Source organism: Homo sapiens, chromosome 3 (genome assembly GCF_000001405.40).
Source record: "Homo sapiens chromosome 3, GRCh38.p14 Primary Assembly".
In the NCBI taxonomy this organism is placed as follows: domain Eukaryota; kingdom Metazoa; phylum Chordata; class Mammalia; order Primates; family Hominidae; genus Homo; species Homo sapiens.
In genome coordinates this window covers 188,750,248-188,763,298 of record NC_000003.12, presented here as the reverse complement: position 1 = coordinate 188,763,298, position 13,051 = coordinate 188,750,248, and the positions used below count along the sequence as shown (strand labels likewise).

Sequence of the window (13,051 nt, the reverse complement as noted above, 5' to 3'; positions counted from 1 at the left end):
GCCACTATCTTGAATATTCTCATTCCATCAATTAAAAAAAAAAAAAAGACAGGCACACTGACTGATGGCCAAGGGCTAGGTTTGCTCTGGTTTGTATGGAATACCTTTTAGACATCAGTTTTCAACAGTGTAACCAAAGGCAATTTTGCTGGATCACACAGAATATGCTTCCTGTTCTAAGGCTTTTGGTTCCAAGAGAGACGCATAGTTCTAGGATTCTCCTTAATGCAAACTATCTTCAAAGCCAACTTGTTTTATTTCATTTGCCCAATTTCCTCAACCTCCTTACACTTCTAGTATGCAGCTTATTGGACATATAAAAGTTCAGAAGAAATTAAAGTTCTGATACATCCATCTGAGGGCTTGAGGACTGTGCTGAACTCGAATCAATATTGAACAAGGGTCTTTGGTAAAGCTTAACTGAATTCTGATAAGAATTAAATTACATTTTAGAGTCACCACGAATAGATCTCATTAAAGAAAAACCTTGATTAAATGTTCTTATGAGGGAAAGAAGTAAAAAAAAAAAAATGGTTAGAATTTCCATTATTTGAATTCACCCAGTTCTTCCAAGTACGCGATTAAATATCTCCCGGATAGTTTTCCTTCTCATAAGCATAGTATAGTAACAACAAACCAAAGAAGAAGGGGCTGGCATCCTACAGAATCACAGAGACCCATACTATGCCTGGAATGGAGATAGAAACTTGAGCCCACACACTGTAGAAACCTATTATTTAATCAGATTAGACCTTCTCCAGTTTTGTTACGCACTCAGAAAAGCAAGCAAACATGTAAAAATGCGAGGAGTATGTCTGAAAGGTTATAATAATTTCCTAAAGCCCAGTGAATTTCACTGCACATGTAAGGTTCCCACATTCAGAAATATTAAACAGTTTCAGAAACATCATTAAAGTTAATCCCAGAATAACATTTATTCCACTACTTTTCCTGAAGAGGCCCAGTGTGCTTTACTAGGATTGTCTCATTTCTTCTTCATGGAAAATAACTGCCATCGTCCCCATTATATAGATGAGGCAACTGATACTTAGAAAGAGTAAATAATTTTCCCAAGGAGGGGAGGCACTAAGTGACGTAACGAAATTCAAATTCATGTTCTTCCCACCCTGTTACACTGTTTCCCAATACTGTCTATATGATTTCAAGCTAACAAGGGTTGAAACAAAACAACTGAAGAAGGCTGCTGCCACAGTAGCATCATTAAAGTAGCAAAAATCAACTATGGAGTCAAAAAGGGATAAAAAATAGACAGGAGCTATAAAAAAACACAGCAGTATGTGTTTACTTGGTGTAAGGACAACCCTGGGTGCCTCTACACACTCTGCCAACATCACTACCTTAGGGCTCGTGGCAATAAATAATTTCATAAACGTGGTGCCAAGCCATTGTGAATGACACCCGGTTTAGTCTGTTTAAAAAGGCAAGGAATTATGTAATGCCTTTCTTTTTTCAATAAAGATTTCAAAGATATTTGAAATATTCTTATATTCTAAAGAGGTAAGCTTTTGTTTACTAGACTTTCGCTTATGCATAATTGCTCCTTCCAGATCAACAGTACATTACTTTGTTTATCTTTATGTTTAGGAAAATGAAAACCATGTAGCATCTGCAAAGAATCTAAGACTGTGGAGCGTGAATAACGGAATGCAGCCTTGGTTCTGACACTAATGATAGGTCATACGAAGTCGCTTTCCTCTTCTGTATGTCTTGGCATTCTCATTGCTAAAGAGAGTAATTACGCAAATGATTTTAAGATTTTTTTTCCAACTCTACCACTGTATGGCTCTACATGTGTTTAAGCTACCTTTGGAAAGAAATGATGTTACATGTATTAAGTTACCTTTGGAAAGAAAACGAAATAAAATTGAACCTAAGACAGATGCAAAGCCATATTTAATCCTACGAAGCCTTAATCTTGATGAACTTTCAGATCTGTGCTACAGACCCCAAGGTTACAATGGGTTAGAGCTGCCAAGTTATAGGAAAATACCAACCAGGCCAAAAACGTCTTCAATAAATGTGAACCTTGTAAAGCCAAGTATGACTCCCAATACCTTGGTAAAGAAACCAAGGTGTCTTTTATGTTGAAATCTCTGGGCACTGAGGGACAAACCATGACTGTTTTGTGGGTTTACATAACAAACAAACAAAAAACACTACTTTTCCCATCAACATGTGTTAAACAAAGATTAAAATCATGCTGAAGGATAGCAAAGAAATTTACAATAGATGAAAAAAGTCTGTGTTCATTCATCAAATTACTCTACCAGAGAATAGTTTAACAGGTAGATTAAGTAAGTAGCATTGTAAAACGCTAAGGTAACATGACTGAGAATTTTTTAGTTACCCAGGTATATTATTAAAATATAGTTTTTGTGTTCTGTAATAAAAGAAAACAATGATTAGCTCAGTCAGCATTACTGTTCATTTCTCTTTAAGGTGCTTTATAATAAACAGTTCCCCTGTTTGCATCATTAAAAACCTGTTGGATAAGAGGGGGAAGAAACATTTTGGTAGATAAAAATGGACTCAAAGGGCCCAGTATTCTGGAAGAGGACTGACAAGTCCAGAGATTCTGTAAAGTTTCCTTGAAACTACTGGGCACTTCAAATGTAGGGTGAGATCTTATAAGAGGTGTGACTCAGCTACTTGGAAAGCTTTCTGATGCTTTAAGAAAGAAAATTTTAGCTTGTACATACATGCTAGAAAGCCACAGGCTGATGATCTTCCCAGCAGACCACTAACTGAATGGCAGTCCCATGCTAATACACCTTTCTGACTGCTTATGAATGGGGGATGTGTAGAAAAAAATTACAATATGCTAATTTACATGCGCGCACGCACACACACACACACACACACACACACCCCACACACACATTTTGAAGTCTAGGAAGAAGCAAAGATCTGATGGCTATATTCTATCTAGAGTGACTGGCATTCAGCCACAGAAGACATCTTTGCAAAGTGCTTGAGGAACAAATCTGGAACTTACAATGTAGCAGGGCTCGCAGTATGCTTTCTTTTCCACAGCATAGAATGGCTGCCCTCGGAGCTTGTTGTTGCAGATGATGCAGGTAAAACAATCCACGTGGAAGACCTGATCCATGGCAGTGCATCCTGTACCTTCCCCAACTACGTTTTCTCCACAGCGAGCACAGCGGCCTGGAAAAAAAAGGGTTTGATAAGAACACACCAAGGAGTACTTCAGTCCTGCTAAAGCCAAAGTGGAGGAGAAAGCAGGTTCATAACGTCAGCAGCAATAGAACCACCACTCCTGCCGTCATTACCCCAGTACTATTACCCCATTACCCCAGCAAGATCACCAGTACAGCCACCCCTATCCTCTGCAAGATTGGCATGGAGGGGATTTTACATTAATCGGTTGAGGGGATTGAGTCTCATAGTCTAAGTTCTTGCAGAAAGGAACAGTAGAACCCGGTCGCTGGCTTTGAGGTCAGTGCTCTGACTCTCATCTCACATGCAAGTATAAAAGGAACATGACTCAGGATGTTTGGAGTGGAAGGCAAAATCTATAAAACAGTACAGAAGAGTCTTTCTTCTTGGAGATTCTACACATCCAGTTAGAATGTAAGATAATTGGGTCCAAACTCAAATTTTAGTTCCTTTTACAAAAGCCCTGATTGTAAAACCTCTGCAGCCAGCTCTCAGTGACAGGCAGATCCCAAGGCAGTCCTTTAATTTCTAGATCGCTTTGATGGCTAAAAGGTTCTTTCTCCTACTGAGCCATAGTGCTTCCTCATTCTAACTGCTTACCCCATGGTTCTAGTTCTGTCTTCTGAGACCTTATCTCTCTCTTGGACTTGACATCCTTTAATACATCAAAATTCAGTAAGCATTGCTTCCAAGTCTGTTATTCCTTTGAACATCCACACATCCTGCAATAGTTTCATATACTGTAGGGTTTTGAGTCTTTCAGGGCCACGGTTCTCGTTGTTCATGCAGTATTCTGCGAAGCTCCAGCATTCTTAAATTGATTAATGTGGCATCTGGCCTACATATGGACATCAGGTTTCAGTTTTTAAAATTTGCAGTAAGCTTTAAATAATAACAATAAAATATAAATTCAGACAAATAGTTATGTCAGTGAGAGGCATTATGCTGGTTGCCATCCATATCTCTATGTGGCTCCATCATGGGAATCTTGAGCTAGACGTCACGTCCACATCTAGTTTCCCTTCTTAGTCTTTGTTTCTACTAAGTTAAAAAAAATTCTATCTAATAATTATAGAACACTGGGAATGTTAGCCAGAAGCTGTAGGCTTTGATAGATAAGGTATAGCAAATGTAGTGCTTCACATATGTCAGACTTTTTCTAGGGGCTTTAGATATATTAACTCATTTCATATTCACAACAGTCTATATGCAGGTACTGTTATTATGCCTATTTCACAGATGAGGAAACTGAGTCACACAAATGGTTAACTAAATTCCAGCCTAAGCAGTCTAACTTCAGCATCTGTGCTCTTAAACACTATGCTATATTACCTATTCCCAGTTCTGTGCATCAGGATTAACATGGATCTGATGTTAGGGAGCATTATGGAGAGACTTCTCACTGAAGACGGCTTTCAGCACTCCATCACATTGGATTGACAGCCATTTCACACTCAAACATGGGAGGGCTAGATGTTTCAACGTGAGAGAAAAAAAGGTAAATTTATTTCTAATCCTCTCCAGTTGTATTTGGCCCTGAAAAGTATTTCTTTATATCCTGTTGTGGGATTTGAATGTGACTTTAAATATAACCCAAAGTATACATCTTAGTTTTTTTCCTAAGGAATAAGAAATATGAAGGCTGGGTGCAGTGGCTCATGTCTTCAATCCCAGCACTTTGGGAGGCCGAGGTGGGTGGATCACCTGAGGTCAGGAGTTCAAGACCAGCCTGGTCAACATGGTGAAACCCCATCTCTATGAAAAATACAAAAAATAGCTGGGCGTGGTGGTGTGTGCCTGTAACCACAGCTACTCAGGAGGCTGAGGCAGGAGAATCGCTTGAACCCGGGAGGCAGAGGTTGCAGTGAGCTGAGATGGCGCCACTGCACTCCAGCTGGGTGACAGAGCGAGACTTCATCTCAAACCAAAAAGAAATATGAAGTGCTGGAAAAAGAGTTAAAGTATTGGAAACTAAGCTGTCACCACTACAGTTGATATCATTATAAAGTCTTGATACCACAGTCTTGACATTTGATGAAAAAATTTTGTATAGTATTTGTTTGTGGCAGACTTCAAAAGTTTTTATCCAAGACTGAACTTGTACCTGTTTTTATTATGAGATAACATTTTGGACTTTCCTGCCAACAGTAACAAAACTATTTCATATGGCACTATTTTTGAAATTATTCTGAAAAAAAAAAAAAAAAAAAACCAAAAAAACAAAACCACAAAAAAAATGTGCTATGTTTGAAAATCATGCTTAAATTCTAACAGCTTCATGCCACCCTTTGACAACATTTCATTGCAGAAAACGAATTAGGGATTAGGAGTAAATGGATTACCAATCCATATGATTATTAAAAGCATATTAGATTCCTGTGAAAGCTGTAATTTTACATTTTACATTTGTTAAATGCAGGCAGGTCAACAAAATTCTTTTTCTATATTACTCTTCCCTTTTCTAGATGTCAAGCAGATTCACTACATAGTACACGAAGGGCTATCAGGGATCTGTGGACCACACTTCCCCCCGTCCCCTAAAAAAGTAGTTCTCATTAAACTATTGGTAATGGCAGTCTACTAAGCAGCTAAAAGTAGCAATTTTGATTCAGACTATGATGCCCGAAGTGTAATACCTGGAATCCAAGAACCTGAGCCTACATGGCTTATGGAGAGTTTGATAGCTACTCATGAGGATCTGGGAGCAAACTTCAATCACTGATTTAGAGGGAACGGCCAGAGCAAAGCCTTAAAGGTCAGGCTGAAAAGATAAGCTTTGAAATGGTCCATCTATTCAACCTCAAATATCTACTCTTGCCCACGACTATGTTCTCCTTCTGTGTGATATACAAAAATGAATTCGACGATGTCACGATGTCAGTGCCTCTCACAGTCAAGACAACCTACATGCAATAGTCACATGGCAAAGCATGTAACACGTCTTAGAAGAAAGTGCTATGGAATGTGGAAGGAAAACCACACTCACAGGGGCTCAGGAAAGGTTGTGTGGAGAAAGAAGCATTTGAGCCGAACCTTCAAGGATGGAATTTTGAAAGGTAAAGGTGGAAGAGGAAAAGACATTCTAGTTTTCCCTCACGGAGAGAATGAGTGACTATGGCTTGGATACCAAAACACTGCAGTGGCTCCATGATGGCATGACACGGAATTGCCTTCTCAGCTATGAAAACAGATGGACTGTATTGTATTCCTAAGGAATGATCTTCTACTTTATGCTTTGGAGAATATTCCTCTAGAGTGGGTCAGCCTAATATGCTGGACTCAGACACAGGCCAGTTTTGCTGCCTCTCATTATTTTTTCTATTCTTGGGATACAGTGGGGACACTAGCCTTGAGGGTAACCAGTCTGGCACCTTTAAATCACAAGTACAGAAAAAAGTGAAGAACAAAACATAAAAATAGCCCCACACATCAGTAGGACAGAAAAGGTACCTGAATCTTCCCTTTTCACATGAACAAACATTTACAAACTGTGTCCTTTAGGGAGAGATTCAGAATGGAGAGAAAGTTACTCAAGCATAGTGTATGCTTGCCTCTAGAGGCACTTACCCCACACATTATTAAAAGCACACCACAATCTTAAGGCCCATCTTTTAGACAAGTATCTCAGCACTTTTAAACAAGAGAAACCAGGAGAATAGTACCAAACTTCAAGGCATCAGAGCATGAAGGAAACACAGCTGATTAGCTCAGACCCAGGGCTGGTGTGAAGAGCTTGCTGCCAATGCTGAGCAGTCAGTCAATCAAAAGATCCGATGACAGAGGGCCGGCAGCCGATGGGGAACTTTGTCAGTGAATTAAGATTTCCAAACAAAACCAAAAATGGTGTTTATATATTATTACTTATTTTATATATTGCTTTGTACTGACTCTAGATTCAGCCAACAATTCTTCTTATCCTTCACCTCTGCTCTCCCATCTATAGCAACCTCAGCAATGTGTCAGAAATGCCTGCTTTCCACCACATGCCTACTACCTAATCACCCTTCCTTTCAAAGGCTATTGCAATGGCTTCCTGATTGTTCTGATATCTCTGATTTACCTCCTCTTACCAACAGAAAGACTTTACAGAAGTCTTAATAATGGAGCTAATCTGAAGAGTTAGAATTTTAACAAGTCATTTTTGGGGATGGCATGGGTGAATAGTGGCATTCCAGGGAAATCTACAGGTTGAACAAGAGAAGTGGCATAGCGTGATATGGGTTTTCTTTTCTTTGTTTTTTTTTTTTTTTTTTTTTTTTTTTTTTTTTTTTTTTTTTTTTTTTTTTTTTTTGTGACAGGATCTCACTCTGTTGCCCAGGCTGGAGGGCAGTAGTGCGATCATGGTTCACTACACCCTTGAACTCCTGGGCTCAAGTGATCCTCCTCCCTCAGCCCTTGCCACCAGTAGCTGGGACTATAGGCACACGCCACCAAGCCCAGCTAATTTTTAATATTTTCCTGTACAGATAGGGTCTTGCTGTGCTTCCCAGGCTGGTCTCAAGCTCCTGGGATCATGCAACCCTCCAACCTTGGCCTCCTGAGGTGCCGGGATTATAGTCATGAACCACTGCACCAGGCTGGGTTGTCATATTTATTTTCTCTTTTGGTAATATGAATTTGTTTCTTTCATGATGGCAAAATAAACTTTTTATTTAAAATGTTTTTCCTGTGATCACCACACAACTGATAAAAATAAGCCACAGACCCTCTTTTGCAAGCAGTGCTTGTTTTGAGGCAGGACCAAAGCTGTCCACAGCCATTTTGGGAGTTGATGCATGGTGACTGAGCATGACATACTCCCAAACTTTCCCATTATTCACCATCAAATGTAAAGTATTAAATATGTGCAGATGTAAAGCCAGGTCACATTTTTCTTTATGTCTTCCTTGCTACTTGAATTATAATAGACATTTTAAGCACAAGCAAAATTAATATTGTACCTTTAAATATGATAATGAACTGAAGCTCTATATGCCAATTGTATGATATATCAGCATTCCCATTAAGCACATTCTTCGATATATTCTGCAAAAAGTCTTGGTTCTAAAAGTTGAATCAATAAGATTATATAAGGGTAGTGAAATGATGGCAACATATTCCTAGAAACAAAACCTGCTCCAGTTTATCCTACATATGGCTACTGAAGTTATTTTCCTGAAGCACAGTTTCCATTAAGCTGATTTAAAAATTATCTTCCACTGAAGGCCCAAAAAGATAACAGAATGAGTTTGCATTCTTTATATGACAGGCCCATATGATGTTAACTGAAGGCTCTAGGATGGTGGCATTTTCTTATCACCAAAGCTTTTATTTCATGGACTCTGTAGTATTGATGCATGTAATAATAGACAACTTGTTTCTTAAACTGCTTATACTCTAGGACAGTGACTCTCAATCTTGCCTGTATATTGCAATCATCTGGGAAACTTAAAAAAAAAAATATTGATCCCTGGTTCCCAACTCCAAAGATTCTGATTTCATTGGTCTGGAGGTGGGATATTACAGGAGAGAAACTTTTAAAACTCTCCAGGTGATTCTATGTTGAGTCAAGTCAAACTCAGTGTTCTGGGGGTGCCTATTTCTGTCCTGCTTGTCAGAAGAAAAGCTGACAAGTATCGCCCAAACAGGTTTCGTCCGCATGCAAAACAGTTTGGGGACAGACTGCTCAACCACGAGTTGGCTGAAAAAAAGAAATTCCTAACGCATCATAATACATGTTGTTTTTCACCAGAGAGAGTATTCTCCCTAATGCTATCTTTATATTTTAGTTTGAAAAGTTTGCAATGGCTTTCCATCCATTGAAAATATACATGAGCAGAATCAGCTAAATTTTCTCATAAAATATTTTGGTAGCATTGAGCCAGAGAAAGTGGTTTACTTATATTAATTGGAAGCACTGCGATAGAACAGGCTTCTTTTGGGTTGCCGATGAATTTATCATATGGCTCTTCTGTAGCCTTAGACAATATAGAATCCACAAAGAATGTCAACTGTTAGCCATGTAAAGTAAGATATCACATATCACATCATACATCAAACTGAGTTCTCACTATTTTCTTGGGACTCTGTCTTTACATAATGTAGCAATATGCAATCTCCTATGGTTATTGCCATTTAGCTCTGTGAATACAAGAGTTTTTATCATATCTTAAAAGCTGGACTGTAGGACACATGTAGTTCTGTCACTGTGCTTGTGTATATCTGATTCTATAGAGAGGCTTGAAGGTTCAACAGGTACGTGGCTAGTGGGGGAAAGGTGGCTCCAATGTCTGTTTCCCTCTCTCTTGTTTTTCCCTCTACAAATACATATACACACTCACACACACCCACACTCAAACACTCGCAACAAGAAAAGGATCAATGACTGCCACTAGGATGAGTGGTAGACACAAAACAGTTTCGGAGACAGTCACATTAAGAAACATTTTAACATCTTAGTCCAAAAAGAGAAATTAAGGTAAAGTAAAAAAAAACAAAAAACAAAACACACACACACACACACACACACACACACACACACGCACACAACAAGCCAAAACCCCAAGGTTGTCAGGGAGAGGAGTTCAGGAATGAGTGGATAAAGGCCTGGGCAGCAAACCAGATGAGATGAAGTGAAGGCTGAGTGATCTCCTGGCAAGGGGAAGTTGTTATAAAGTCTAACCACGATGTGATTCATTTATAGACAGAGATTTGCTTAGCTTAGACCTTCAGGTGAGGTGGTAAATTAGGAGGGGGAGTCCCACAGAAGGTTGCAAAAGCAAGCATGTTTCGCTGATGTAAATATATGTATTGTGAAGGAAACTAACAAAAAATAGAAAATTATTGTGCATTTTTATCTGTGCTCAGCACTGTCCTAAGCATTTCACATACATTTTTTCATTTAGTCCTACCAACCAATTATTCTCCTTTTTAGATAAGAAACCTGATGTTCCATCACCTGGCCAAAGTCTCAAAGGCAGAATGTAGTGTGGCTGAGACTGGAACCAGGTCTGACTTGTAAAGCCCATTTTCTCAATCAGCACATGTTTCTATGTATACAATTCAATCATAACTCTGACCTATATCAGTATTGTTTAGGAGCAGAACCCATTAACACCTGCAGGGAAAGAGGAAGGGCCAGTCCAGCATCACTTCTCCATCCCCACAAGCCTCAGGGGATCTTAGTGAAAGTCATGATCTACCACAGGTGGCGAATCAGGACAGGTGATGGTCCTCCACTGCAGCTCTTGGGTGTTGACCCTTCAACTCTAGCTTTCCATCAGGAATGTGAGTTTGAGAACCACTGCTGTAACAAGGACTGTATGCTTCTGTGTTCCACCAAGAGTAGTTTGTCCCGGGGTATTGGAATGCAGTGATGGCTAGTGCCAAATCTCCCAGGAGATATATTCTAGGAAACTGGAACTTTAATATGAGGCGGAGAGGGGCAGAAAGTTGGGCAACATATACCCTATTCCCAACCTTGATGAAACTAATAGCATCTATACACATAGTAGTCATGACAGTAACTTTTTGATAACAACTTCCACTCTCAGGAAAAGTAGCAAAAACAAAACAAAAATACCATCACCACCACCACAACAAACAAAACAAAAAACAACCCTGTTTTGCATTTTCGAGTATAATACATGGTTATCTTTTGAACAGTTAGATGTAACATGGTGTAAAGAAAATCAGATATGCAATTCTTGCCTTTGTTACTAGCTATTGGCAGCCTAGACAAGTTTCCTAAATTTTCTGAGCCCGAATTTCCTTGTCTTCAAAACAAGCAGCTGAGTAGACGCACTCACTAGATAAGTGGTCTTAGTTGAGTCACTTATCCAGCCATTCTGTCAATCCCTCAACAAATGCACTTGGTGAGTTTCTATTTGCTGTCAAGCACTGCAGTAACCTTTTCTAGGCTTCTCTAAGAGGGAGATGATCATAACTGCCTTAAATACTTGGCTATGAAATTCGGAGGAGGTAACATCTAGAAGGTGTCCAGCATGAGACCTACTTCTTTCTCCTTTAAACTATAGGAAGTATATAGTTCAACTTCAAAATAAAGAGCTCATAACAACTAGAACAGAAAGGCACATGCTTTGGACTGTTCTCTAAAGATGACAGTCAATGAGTGGAAAATAGAGGTCCCTATGTCTCTGAGGCAGTTGGTTAAGATTTATATTTATCAATATTTTACTGATGGAATTTTTCGGTAGAAATTTCAATCCTAATCCTAATCCTACAAAAATTTGTAGACCCCGGGGTGATGATAATAGTCAATATTTATTCAGCGCTTTTTATGGACCAGGTGTTAAGTATTTAATTGTATTATCTCATGTAGTCACCCCAACAACTCTATGATGTAGGTTCTATCATTATCTCCATAACAGTTGATGAAAAGGCAGCATAAAGAGATTATGTGCCTTGCCCACAACCACAGAGTTAAATATTGAAGCTGGAATTGGGGCTTAGGCAGTCTGACTTTACATCTGTCCACTTAACCAGTTTTCTAAACTGACTTACTACTTTAAAAGTCCACAATTCCTAAAATTATCTGGCCAGGCAGGAAACTTGATTAAATCACAGAACATTCCTGACAGAAACAGTAGTATTTCTTTTGGCCAAAGCAAGATTTCTCTTTAAGTTAATTTTTACACATGGACATTTTCACATTCTCCGTCTTAATTTTTTAACCAGTCTTCTATATTTAGAATTCATTTCATGATTGATCTGCTAACAGAAAAATCAATATTTACTAGTACAGTTAGAACCGCTATTGCAACAATTATTTTTGCCTTATGGTTTGAATCTGCTCCGTGATCTCTCCCGTGGGAATCTGCATTTCCCTTAGGTCCACTCAAAGGGTAAATCTGCCCAGGTACTTTTAGCTTTTGTGGTAGGAAATCTCCAAATTTATTCTGGTTATTTGAGACCAAACCTGATAATAAGGGAACCCAAAGGGGTTTTTCTAAAGCTACTGTATTTCAGCAGCCAGCAACAGAATAATCTTCCCTCTGTGAAGTCATCAAGCATCCCTTATATTTGTCTAGTGCTTTATCTTATTTATCAATGCATTTGATCCCTCAATAATATTTGGAGGCAGCAAAGCAAGGGTTATAATCACTCTCATTTTAACGATGAAAATACTAAAACTTAAAAAGGCTTAGAGGCCTACAGAACTTAAGAGTTCAATGTGTGACTTAAGACCATGTAAAGTTAGATCAGATCCAACAAACAGAGCTCAGGCAGAAGACTATGTTGCAAATGAGGTGGAATCCATGTACATAACATGTAATAGTCATATTGACACCAAGACATAAATGGGAGCCACAGTTTGCAGATGGAGAACTATGACTCATTTTGTAAAGAACATTAGGTTTTCTCCAGTGTCCCTCTTACCTTCTTGTTTCACAAAAGAAGAAAGCAGACAAAAAAGAGTGTTAACCTGGACAAGATTCTCTGGATAGTAAACTTTTTTTTTTATTTTTTGAGATGGAGTCTCACTCGGTTGCCCAGGTTGGAGTGCAGTGGTGCGATCTTGGCTCACTGCAACCTCTGCCTCCCAGGTTCAAGCAATTCTCTGGCCCCAGCCTCCTGAGTAGCTGGGATTACAGGTGTGTGCCACCATGGCTGGCTAATTTTTTGATATTTGTAGTAGAGATGGGGTTTCACCATGTTGGCCAGGCTAGTCTCAAACTCCTGACATCAGGTGATCCACCCATCTCGGCCTCCCAAAGTGCTGGAATTACAAGTGTGAACCACCACACCTGGCTTGGATAGTAAACCAATATGCAAAGGAATGAGTATTTCTCCAATGATCATATTACCCTTTCCATTTTAGAAAAGATGTGTGCTATGATTTGAATTGGTTCCC

General features: G+C 39.1%; 1 protein-coding gene across 51 annotated transcripts in view; it reads right to left on the bottom strand.

Annotated features, from left to right (window-relative positions):
• The window catches only part of LPP (LIM domain containing preferred translocation partner in lipoma), a 737,651-nt gene that overhangs the window by 127,373 nt on the left and 597,227 nt on the right, over positions 1-13,051 (bottom strand). For 50 of the 51 annotated variants that reach the window (NR_164692.1, XM_047448103.1, NM_001375457.1 and 47 more), the window contains one exon: positions 3,017-3,186. Coding sequence is in view for 50 of the 51 variants with exons in the window: in XM_047448103.1 (XP_047304059.1) it covers positions 3,017-3,186 (170 nt within the window). In the remaining variant the exon portion in view is untranslated. Of the gene's footprint in view, positions 1-3,016; positions 3,187-3,813; positions 4,037-4,530; positions 4,668-13,051 lie in introns of those variants that run through there. The other variant, XM_047448116.1, reaches the window with a different exon arrangement.